Source organism: Homo sapiens, chromosome 2, assembly GCF_000001405.40.
Source record: "Homo sapiens chromosome 2, GRCh38.p14 Primary Assembly".
Taxonomy (NCBI): Eukaryota; Metazoa; Chordata; class Mammalia; order Primates; family Hominidae; genus Homo; species Homo sapiens.
The window spans coordinates 1,016,332-1,028,768 of NC_000002.12; the positions used below are offsets into that span (position 1 = coordinate 1,016,332).

Below are 12,437 nucleotides of genomic sequence, written 5' to 3' on the forward strand. Positions count from 1 at the left end.
CCCAGGTTCCAGCCATTCTCCTGCCTCAGCCTCCTGGGTAGCTGAGATTACAGGCGCATGCCACGTGCCTGGCTAATTTTTGTATTTTTAGTAGAGATGGGGTTTTACCATGTTGGCCAGGTTGGCCTCAAACTCCTGATCTCAGGTGATCCGCCCGCCTCAGCCTCCCAAAGTGCAGGGATTACAGGCGTGAGCCACCACGCCCGGCCGACAACTTTATTTCTTATAAAGAGTTGCAGCCCTCAGGCTGGACTTTCTGACAGGCTGCCTCCAGCAGAGACCGAAAGCAGGCATTTGAAGGAGGAAGGCTGAGACAGGAATTTATGCTGAACAGGTTGGCCAAATATACATATTTAGCAGGTGGGAGATGGAGCTATGCGTATTCACGGACTGGCTCTGAGACATTTGACTGAATAAACACGTATGTTATGTGTGACACATATTCACTTTGGGGTGTGGACTTAACATTAAAATGTAGCAAAATTAGGCTCTGTGTGTTGAAAGGTGAAGCTGGTACATGAATGCCCTCAGTGCACAGCCTCTGCAAAACCAGCCAGGACCAGATCATGGTGGGTGGTCTCTTATCAGGAGAAAATTACTGGAATCATACCTTATCCAACTGAAGCTGCTGCTGTGGCTGGTAAGAGGTTCAGTTGGCCAGGGTCTCAGAGCTGGATGAGCTATGAGTATTTTAATCTTTCTTATCTCTAGGCTAGTGCTGGTTCAGCTGCTACAGAAAAAGAAAATCTTGTGGCAGTGAGTATACGGTTTACTAAGAGCAGGGTGCACAACTCACCCTTTGCCTGGCATGGCTTTAGGTCCTGTTTGTAATTTGGTGTCTTATTGCCACAGAGAATCTACTCTGTCAGTCTTATGATCTCTGTTTTACTGCTGTAACATCTAGTATTAATTATTCTGTAACTGTGTCATAAAAGTCTAAAAACTTCATTAGAAAATGAAATTGACTCTGTAAAGCAAAAGGTATGTAATAAGGGGAATTCTCAAGTATATCTTTTTAAAATTATATACACACATGCAGACACACGTATACACACATACACATGCAGGCATGCAGACACATGGAGCTACGTGTACACATGCAGACACATGCAATGTGCATGCACAAACATGCAAACAAATGCACATGCATGCACACATGTAGAGACACATACGTGCACATTCACACCCAGAATATATGCATATCCACACAGGCAGGGACACACACACACATACACACATGCACACACACATGTATGTACATGTATTTATGGTGTAGGTTAAAATTGTATAAAGCTGGCATTGAATATACAGATGCACACCATAGTGTTAAATTTTGCCTAAGAGCTCACGTATACATAAATTTTAAAAAGAAGAGTTACCGTATCTTCTTTTAATTTACTTGGTTTCTGATCACAGATAAGCATTGCTAGACAGCTCTGTGACTGTGTCAGGTGAATGTTAAAGGGTTGTCGTGAGGGCAGTGTTAGCTATGGAATGCATCAATAACTGTCAGGTTCCGAGCACACAGTGGGTGTTCTACAAATGCGGATGGTGTGAGGAGGTGACCTGTGGTGTCTGGTCAGCTCATAACTTCCATATTTTTCTTTAGGCTCTTCCCCTTCAGAGAGTGCCCCACGCCATCTCCAGTTGGGTTTCGTCCATCCCTTTTCCTCCAGGCCCTTTCAGAATTTCGTGCATGTATCTGGCATCCATGCATAAGAAATGTAAAGATATTTGTTAGTCATGGAGTTAGTTAGCAAAATATGTATGTTGTAGTATGGTAACGAGCCTCTGTTGACTCCCACTTTTTACTGGTAGGGATAAAATTTGAAAATGATTAATTCACAGTTCTTTTAAAAATCCCATTAAGGCTGGCTGATTGCTGAAGTGGCTCTTACGTTCTGTTCAGTGCATCAAAGCAAGGGAAACATCATCTTGCAGAAAGTAGTGAGGAGACAAGCAGCCCTGGGGAGCTGAAGGCACGTCGCTGGTGGTCAGAGGGTGTCTTCATTTACTGGCCACAATCGGCATAAGCTGCTGCTTCTGAAAGATGCCCTTGAAATTTGGTGCCCACTCCTGAGACCATGGTGGGCCCTCCAGGAATCCCTGCTTTAGTGTTCACTTATTTGTGGCAAAAGATGGGGCCTTGGTGCCCACAGCCGACTGGGTAGGTGGAGGCTGTGCAGTCAGGGAGGGGAGAGTGCATGGTGGGCAGGGTTGGGGCCGCTGTCAGACCTGGAGAAACATCAGTGAGAAAGTTTGGAAAAGGAGGAAGGAGCAGGAATGAGAGCTGTTTAGACCCAGGGCGTGAACTTCTCACCTGGTTCAGGCTGTGCTCTGCAGGGAAATATTCACAGCATGAACGATATGCAAAGCCAATGCATGCTCAAGTGGCTGGCAAAAAAAAATTAATAATAATAATAAAATAAAAAGATTGCGTGATTTTTTTGTAAAATGTTGGCAAAGGCCTGAGCACAACGTGCTTTCACTTAATGGGCCATCACATTACAGCCCCTGTTGGCTCTCAGCAGGGTTGGCTCCCAGCAGGTGTTTTCTGAGTGCTGCTGGGCCTGGGATGCTGGTAGTTTCCAGGGTGTGAAGAGATGCCCATTGTCCTCCTCCTGTCCTGACAGGTTTCCCACTTGATGAGAATACAGCACGCATGCAGAGCTCTATCTACAGTGCTGACAGCGCTGCATGTTTTACTAGAAGGACCTGGCATCAGCTCTTCGAGCAGGTGCTGTTAGGGGGGCAGCTGTGGAGGGTGTGAGTTGTGGACAGGCATTCTGAGCTGGGCTGCAGAGCACTGATGGAGGGACGTCATGGTGTGTATTGTGCATCAAACAGTCCCCTTTGGCTCAGCTTCATGTGATGGGCAATGAGGTTGAAATCAGACAGGCCAGATATCATGTCTGTGAGTCTTGGAGGGTCTTGGAGAACATGCTAAGAAGTTTTCATTTTAATCCATCAATGAGTGTGTTTAGAGCAAGAGAGGGACTAGTGATTCCAAACTGGCGTTTCCTGATTCACGTGGCAATGTCATGCAGGGTTGAGTGGGAAGGGGACAAACTGGAGCTGTTTAGAAGATGGCTTTGTGAATCTGAGTGAGTGTTGTGGGAAGAGGCCATAGGTGTGCTGGGAATGTGGAGGGAGTGACCAGGTGTGGTATCCAAGGGAAGAAATGGCAAGGAGGGCAGGGTCAAAGTGGCTCCAAGCTTTGGAGATTGCACACTCTTCTGGAAAGAAAGGAAATGGAAATTCATTGAAAAACTATAATGTCACAGCAGGCTGTTGAAACTCTACAGACATTCTCTAAGTTAATGATAGTTCCACTGGTAATTATGCTGCAGGATTAGGCAGTTTTAGCTGAGGGATAACCACAGTGCTAAGGAGGCTCATGCGAGGTGGGCGACCTGGTATTAACATCAACACAGAGGCCAGGCGTGGTGGCTCAGGTCTGTAATCCCAGCACTTTGGGAGGCCGAGGCAGGTGGATCACCTGAGGTCAGGAGACTAGTGTGGCCAACATGGTGAAACCCCGTCTCTACAAAAAAAAGAAAAATTAGCCGGGTGTGGTGGCGGGCACCTGTAATCCCAGCTACTTGGGAAGCTGAGGTAGGAGAATTGCTTGAACTCCGGAGGCAGAGGTTGCAGTGAGCTGAGATCGTGCCACTGCACTCCAGCTTGGGGGACAGAGCGAGACTCCATCTCAAAGAAAAACAACAAGAACAACACAGAAACACTATGGGCCACTGACAGTTATTCCCAATAGCCATTCAGGCATGAATCTCTTCTGATATTAACAATGGTGCATTTCAAGTACACAAGCTGATGATGAATAAAATCCCATTTTATACACATACGTGCATGCTCTTCCAGCCTTCATAGACGTGGGGTGGATGGTGGAGGACTCCAGGGCAATGCCCAGCAGGTGAATGGCAGGGCCACTTCCTAAGGGCCCAGGCATCTGGGCTTGGGCCCAGCTCCCCTGGCTCCAGCATGAATGCCTTTCCTCCCACTTCTGGCCCCTGGACTGGCCAGATGGTGAGTGAGGGAACCACTTACAACCATCAGCAGGCAGGCCACGGTGGAGCCTCAGAGGGACATCTGCAGAAGGACTTATTTTTACCAAAGAGCTGTTCTGAAAACCCACTCAGCATCTGCACTGTCCGAATGGGATCTGATTGTGCTGGGTCTGTGTACTCATTCCTGCACTTCTCCAAATTTGTAGGAATTTTTTTTTTAAAAAAATTCCAACAGAAAAGTTGGAAGAATAGTCTAATAATATACTCCTCATCCATATTCAATTACTAATATTTTAATATATTTATCTTTGTGTTTTGTTCTTGCTGATTATTAAAAATCATTTGCAAAATTCAGGAATTTTAACCTCAAACATGTCAAACTGTCTGCCACATCAGGAAGTCCCATTATTCATGAGCTGAGTTTTTCACTTAAGAGAGTAACTCACAGACTTCTCTGTTTTTAACCATATGTATATATATATTTTTTGCCAATAGTAACTGTTAGACAGCATGAAAATATCCTACCAACAATTTTTGCTTAATAGCTTTAGCATTTAATGATGATCCTTCTGAGTCAATTATTTCATTGAACCTGGAAAAATGGTGATTTTTGTATTACATTTTTAATGACCTTTCTCCAAAGAAGAATAGCTTTTCCTCATCAACTATAGAGACACTGTGGTTCCTCTTAAAATGAAAGGTGAATGATTAATTCTCTCTTGAATCGCCAATTTTCACAGTAAGGAATCGTGTTTTGATCTCTTCCAGTGGGGGCAATCAAGCCATGTTTGTCTCTTCCTCTCACTTGCTTTCTCTGTAATTTTTTGAGTATTATTACATATACATGGTGCACTACAGTCAGTTACGGTAGCTACTATCTTTGACAGTTAAATAGACCCAAATGTGATTAGTAGGAGGTTCAAGCTGGTTTCTGTATCTTGTTGACCTGCACCCATAAAAGTCTGTTGATCAGTAGCTCCTTTTGTTTGATAATAAAAAATATCTCAAGCACGCTCTCATAATACTTTGCTGAATCCAGAAATGGCATGCCCCATTTTCCAAGGAGATATATTGCTTTTTAAAATCCATCATTTTAACAGGGTATTTGGAAACCAAAAGCTTGCAGGGACATTTTCTGGACACATCAAGCAAATATATTTTAAAATTTTGTTTAAATATATTTTTTAATATTTTACTCAAATTTGATATAACTTATTTTTTGCCTTGACTTCTAGGAATTTTCTTTTTTTTTTCTTTTGCTTTAGGGCCAGAGTCTTTCTGTGTCATCCAGACTGAAGTGCAGCACTATGATCATAACTCATTGCAGCCTCCACCTCCTGGCACCTCCTGGCTCAAGCAATCCTCCCACCCCAGCCTCCTGAGTAGCTGGGACTATAGGAATGCACCACCATGCCCGGATTTATTATTATTATTAATTTTTGTAAAGATGGGGGTCTCACTTTTTTGCTCAGGCTGGTCTGAAACTCCTGGCCTCAAGTCATCCTCCTGCCTTGGCCTCCCAAAGTGCTGCAATTAAAAGTGTGAGCCACCACACCTGGCTTGAATTTTGTTTTATGTGCTTTTTTTTTTTTTTTTTTTAGTGAAAACATAAGCTCCTAATAATCCTATCATGCTAAATTACTTATTCTATGTGTACATGATACATTTTCAAAATTTTAGTACACTAGTTACACGTGAACTAGTACAGCCACTGTGGAGAAGAGTATGGAGGTTCCTCATAAAGTTATGAATAGAGCACAGAGGTGAACTGAAAACTATGAATTGAGCCAGTGTTCCCATTACTGGGCATTTATCCGAAGGAAAGGAAATCCTGCGCTCCTGTGAATCCCTAGGTTCTTGCAAGTCCCTGATTTCCTGTGAGTCCCTGCGTTCCCATGAATCCCTTTGTTCCCATAAATTCCTTTGTTTTTGTGAGCCCCTGTGTTCCCGTGAATCCTTGCGCTCACGTGAACCACCTGTGTTCCCGTGAGCCTGTGCGTTCCCGTGAATCCCTGCATTCCCGTGAGGACCTGCGTTCTCAGGAGCCTCTGCGTTCTCGTTAGCCCCTGCATTGCCGTGAATCTGAGTTCCCATGATTGCCTGAGTTCCCATGAGTCCCTGAGTTCCCGTGAGTCCCTGAGTTCCCGAGTCCCTGAGTTCCCGTGAGTCCTTGCATTCCCGTCAGTCCCTGAGTTCCCCTGAATCCCTGAGTTCCTGTGATTCCGAGTTTCTGATTCCCTGTGTTCCTCTGAGTCCCTGTATCCTCGAGTATTCCTGTACCCTTGTGAAGCCCCCGAGTTTTTGTGCATACTTGCCTAGTACATGGCAAGTGATCAGGTACATTTTTTATTAATAAGGGATTGCATTGGGATTGGTGATTATCAAAATGGGTCAGTGCTAAATAGTGAATTTTCCCTCTGTCATTTCTTCTTTCCCCCTTCCATGAGAATCTCCTTGTGTAGCTGAGAAGCTGCAGTTAACATTGTAGCATCTTGATAGCGAATATAAATCCATAGACCTTGAGAAACAAGGCCTAGGGACTGTCGTCTGGAGAGTTAAGATTTACTTTAAGAAACAAGAGAAGATAAAGGAGATAAATGGCTTCAGCCAGTTGGCCAGGGTAGGAGGATGTGAGACTGGCAGCAAATGAGAGTCTCCCAGGCACACACAAGCCTCTGAGCTGCTACAAGTGGGAGACACCAGGAAAGAGGATTTTTTAATGTGGTTCAGAAATAAATCCTTTTTGACTTTACATTTAACCCACTATCAGTAGATATTCACATAGGTTTTTTTTTTTTAATTTTATTTTCTGGCCCGTGTCTTGAGGAGAGAATTAGTCTGGGCCCATGTTATTTATCCTGTTTGAAATGAGGGATTTGAGTAATCACCCCCCAGCCTGGCCTGGACGGTCACTTTACTCTTGGGCCATCTCCTTCTCTTGGCAGCAGTAGAAGGATGTGGCTCCAAGATTGTGTTTTCTCCTGTAGTGTGAGGTGAGTGGCCATGACATTGGGCTGAATTGATGCTGTGTTGGAGGCTGGATGGTGGTAAATCTATTTTTATTTAAATTTTCTGCAGTCAGAATGTGCAAATAGTTGATGTTGTCTTTATTTTCCATCACTGAGATAAAAGGCCTGACTTATTTTGTTAACATGGAGGAACATAAGTTTTATACTTAAATGGGTAATAGGTTATTATTATTATTTTTATTTATGGTTTCATCGTCGAACATTTTTATGTTGTGGACAGTGTCAATTCTTGCCTTTGTGGGCCCACTCAGACCTGCCTGGTCAGCCCTTGCAAGGACACTCGCGTTGCCCAGCCCTGGCTCCGTCACTGTGCCACTGTCAGCACATCTGCACCCCGCGTAGTCTGGGGACATTTAGACAGCCTTAGGCTCAATGTCAAGTGGATCCAGAACCTCGGCAGTCTGCAAGGAGAGTTGTGTGTGTGCCATCGATGTCCGCTTACACCAGGTCCGGCTGCAGGCTGCTCTTGGACCTCCTTGTCCTTGACTGGGACTGAAGACAGCACACCTGAAAGCTTTCCACGGATGAGCAACGTTACATGGAGTATCCACTGACAATGTGGAAAAACTGGTGTGTGCTTTACACCAGTAATAACTCATCTAGAACAGGGGTTGGCGAACCTTTCTGTGCAGTGCGAGATGGTGATATTTATTTGTGATTCTGTGGCAACAACAGTCCTGCTCTCGTGGAGGGGAAGTGGCTGCGGTAGACATGGGTATGGAATGGATGGTGCCTGCCAGGGAAGCTTCGTGGCACCACAGGGGCCTCCCAGATTCAATCCGTGGGCCACAGATTGAAAATGAAGCAGAAAAAGATATTTATTTGAAAAATCGTAATACTAAAAGTGAGGGACCAATATGAAGAAAACAAATATTTAAATAAATATAAAACTTAACTAAGCCATACATGATGTGATGTGACAGAAGGTTATTATTTATTTTTTCTATAAGTGAAATTATACTTTAAATATATTCTGATAAAAACATGAAGACTAAGTTTTTTTAGACAGGGTCTCCATCTGTTGCCCAGGCTGGAGTGCAGTGGCATGATCATGGCTCACTGTAGCCTTGGCCACCTGGGCTCAAGCAGTCCTCCTGCTTCGGCTTCCTGAGTAGCTGGGACCACAGGCTCACGCCACCACACTTGGACAATTATTTTTTAAAATTGTTTGTAGAGGTGTGGTCTCACTATGTTGCTCAGGCTGTTCTTCAACTCCTGGGCTCAAGCGATTCTCCCACCTCACCCTCCAAAATGCTGGGATTACAGGCATGAGCCACCGTGCCCACCCAAGACTATTTTTAATGAAAATATTGATTCTGAAATTTACCTGCAATAATGAAAAGATGAGAATTAATACCCAAGGCTCTTTGAAAAATAAAGTAATAAAGCAGTGACTTACACTAGCAAATGTCAAAACATTGTCAAGCAAGGTGGCACTGAGGTGACATAGGTAATACAGGTCCACATTGTGTACTCTACCAAGAAATAAAAAGAAAGCAGAAACTAATACTTACAATATGATTACTTGTTAGTGCACTCTATGGGATAATGAAATAAATGGCAGGATATAATGTTAGTTATTTTGAAATATTGTCAAGATCTGCTACATACACTCTACGTGGATTAGATAACTTATCTAAAAGATCAAAATATGAAACACCCCCACTCACACTGCCAAAATCAAACTATGTTCCCCACCAGAACACTGAAGGGATGTTGTAGAGCTTAACAGAAAGAGTAGATCCAAGTTCTTGCCTCAGTGTTTTCCCCTAGGGATGATGAGTAATGCAGGGTCTGAGTAGTGCTTGAGCAGGAAGAAGCATGCCATCCCAGCTGGGAGCAACTTCAAGAGACTCATGGAATAGAACAAGGGCCCGGTTGGTAAACATAGCACAGGACGGGGTGAGGGTGGCAGGAGATATGGGTGCATGGAATCCAGGCAGGGCAGCCACACAGGGACTTCTGCATGCAGGAGATGGCTGTGGACCTGTGCGGCACTTCTAGAATTCCTATGATGAGAAGAGCATGGGGGATTCGCTTCCCATGGCTGCTGTTTTTTACTGCAGAGCACAAACTTAATATTTTTAGTTCTGGAGGTAGGAAGTCTAAAATGGGTTGCACTAGGCTAAAATCAAGGTATCGGCAGGACTGCGTTCTTTCTGGAAATTCTGGAGGGCAATCTGTTTCCTCTGGATTCTAGAGACTGCCTGTGCGCCTTGGCTCCTGGCTACGTCCTCCATCTTCACATCATCTTCACAGCCAGCGGTGCAGCGTCTCCAAATCTCACTGTGACCCTGGCCCTCCTGTCCCCTCTCTGCCTTATGGAGGCCCCTGTGATGACACTGGGCCCTCTGGGTCATCCGGGATGACCCCCATCTCACAAGCCTGAGTCTCATCTGCAATGTCCCCCTGCTATGTGACATTCACAGGCTCTGCAGATGTGGATATTTTTGTGGGGGCCTTTGCCTAACATAGACAGCATCATTCATTCATTCATTCATTCATGAGACCCTGAGACTGGTCAACCGCATTTGAGAGATTTGAAAATTTGGGCTCTGCAGGAATAATTGACTTGCTGAACTAGTTGTTAAGCCCAGGAGTTTTAAGTCAGCATTACAAACTAATTTGGCATTTTGTTTTGTTTTGTTGCATGTTTATAGAAGTTAAAATGCATTCTTTAAAACCAGTCCAAATGTAATGAGTAATTTTAATATGAATTGTTAATCAGTTTCTGGAAAAGCAAGCAGCTTTGTTTGTTACTGGATAATTTTGAAAAGTTTGTTGTTGTTGTTGATTTTCCCAGTGCTCCAACACCAGATGCAGACACGTGTCTTTTAATTGAACCCCACTCTAGCATTGTTTTATGGTAATTCAGGATTATTAATCAGACTCTCAATTGGCGTTCCTCTTCAGCACTTAGCGTGAACACTGAAGAACACGCAGGGGAGAGGACTTGTTCTCCTCCTTCCAAATTTTATGCAGTTTTTGGCATTAATTCAGAATCTGCTATTCAGTGCATAAAGAACTCATTAGAGTTACCAGTACAGGGACTTAGCCCTCTGACAATAGTTTTAGGAAATTATAAGATGTCATTTGCCAACATCCAAAAACACAAATAAATAAAACTGCTAGGAAAAAAAGTGAGGGAGATATCATTGTACGGGCTAGAGTTTTGAGATTAAATATTCATGGATGGCTCTTCGTGTTTTCCTAGGCATGAAATTGTTGACAACCCTGCACTCACCCAGCATGTCTCATTCTCCCGAGTAGCCTTGTGCATGGAATGGAGCTCAGGAAACAACCCTCGGAATAACCCACTTGCTCTGCCTTTTAAAAATACCCCGATTCCACCTCTGTCTCCCATGGCAAATGGTCTGAGTGCCATCCTCTCTCACTGGGTGAATGCAGGAGCCCCCTCCTGCCCTTGGCCTGCCCTTCCTCTTCCTGCTCTTTGCCTCCTCCTTTTGCCTGTGGCCTCCCCCTGCCCTTGGCCTCCTTCTCTCCTGACTTAGTGTCTGCACAGCAGCCTTGCTGATTTACTGTCTGCACTCCTTGGCTTAGTATCTGCATAGCAGACAGAGTGGTTCTTCCACAGTAACTTGGCTCAGCCTCCATCGTGCTACCCTTGCTCCCTTGTGTGATGCTGGGAGCCCCTCCATCCTGGCCACTCTTGCTGCTGCAGTTAGTTCTCTGTGTCCCGTGACTCTTTTCCATGTGCTTCTTGCACACCCTAAAAACAGCTCTCCCCTACATCTGCTCACTGCCTGCACCCTGGAGAGAACAGGGATCTCGTCTGCTTGTTTCCTGGAGATGCTCCCGGGCCCACAGTGCTCCCTGGTCCCAGCAAGTAACTCATGCATCTCTGTTGAGTAAAGAGATAAGCAGGTGCGTCTGACCCACAGACACTACCCAGCAAGTAACTCATGCATCTCTGTTGTGTAAAGAGATAAGCAGGTGTATCATTGAAGGTGTGTCTGACCCACAGACACTACCCAGCAAGTAACTCATGCATCTCTGTTGAGTAAAGAGATAAGCAGGTGCGTCTGACCCACAGACACTACCCAGCAAGTAACTCATGCATCTCTGTTGAGTAAAGAGATAAGCAGGTGCATCACTGAAGGTGCGTCTGACCCACAGTCACTATCCAGCAAGTAACTCATGCATCTCTGTTGAGTAAAGAGATAAGCAGGTGCATCACTGAAGGTGCGTCTGGCCCACAGACACTACCCAGCAAGTAACTCATGCATCTCTGTTGAGTAAAGAGATAAGCAGGTGCATCACTGAAGGTGCGTCTGACCTACAGACACTACCCAGCAAGTAACTCATGCATCTCTGTTGAGTAAGTAGGTCAGTAGGTGCATCATTGAAGATGCGTCTGACCCACAGACACTACCCAGCAAGTAACTCATGCATCTCTGTTGAGTAAAGAGATAAGCAGGTGCATCACTGAAGGTGCGTCTGACCCACAGACACTACCCAGCAAGTAACTCATGCATCTCTGTTGAGTAAAGAGATAAGCAGGTGCATCTGACCCACAGACACTACCCAGCAAGTAACTCATGCATCTCTGTTGAGTAAAGAGATAAGCAGGTGCATCATTGAAGGTGCGTCCGACCCACAGACACTACCCAGCAAGTAACTCATGCATCTCTGTTGAGTAAAGAGATAAGCAGGTGCATCATTGAAGGTGCCTCTGACCCACAGGCACTACTCAGCAAGTAACTCATGCATCTCTGTTGAGTAAAGAGATAAGCAGGTGCATCACTGAAGGTGCGTCTGACCCACAATCACTATCCAGCAAGTAACTCATGCATCTCTGTTGAGTAAAGAGGTAAGCAGGTGCATCACTGAAGGTGCGTCTGACCCACAGACACTACCCAGTAAGTAACTCATGCATCTCTGTTGAGTAAAGAGATAAGCAGGTGCATCATTGAAGGTGCATCTGACCCACAGACACTAAGCTCTGGCTGCACATCCTACGCTTACTGAACCTTTAGAAATACCTGGGTATTCACTGACTGCAGGTATCCTGATAGGGTAGCACCTGAATGGACATCTGTAGTGTTTAAAATCCCCACAGCTGGTTCCGAATGCTGGCTGAGAAGCTTCCTTCCTCGGGTCAGGCTCATTTCCCTCTAGACGGGAGGCCTGGTGTCAGTCACTTACAATGTCCAAACCTTCTCAGCTTTCTCTTCTTTGAAAGGTCCAGAAACCCTCTGCTTTCCCTTCATGTGGATCTATCTTTCCTTATGCTTTACTCGAAAAGACTCTGGGTCTTACAACACTGAGTAGTTAGAACTCCAACACATTCCTGGTCCTCTCTGCCTCTGCATCTGTTTTCCAGGCAACCTCCTTTTTTTTTTTTTTTTAAATGCTAATCACA

At 44.8% G+C, this 12,437-nt stretch overlaps 1 protein-coding gene across 13 annotated transcripts in view; it reads left to right on the top strand.

Annotated features, from left to right (window-relative positions):
• SNTG2 (syntrophin gamma 2) overlaps positions 1-12,437 on the top strand; it is a 416,765-nt gene that overhangs the window by 65,483 nt on the left and 338,845 nt on the right. For 5 of the 13 annotated variants that reach the window (XM_017004365.2, XM_017004366.2, XM_017004368.2 and 2 more), the window contains exon 1: positions 2,574-2,737. The exons of 2 other annotated variants lie outside the window; for them this stretch is intronic. In XM_017004365.2, coding sequence (XP_016859854.1) covers positions 2,663-2,737 — 75 coding nt within the window. In that variant the 5' untranslated portion in view covers positions 2,574-2,662. Of the gene's footprint in view, positions 1-2,567; positions 2,738-12,437 lie in introns of those variants that run through there. 6 more of the 13 variants (XM_017004374.1, XM_047444798.1, XM_017004372.1 and 3 more) reach the window with 4 other exon arrangements.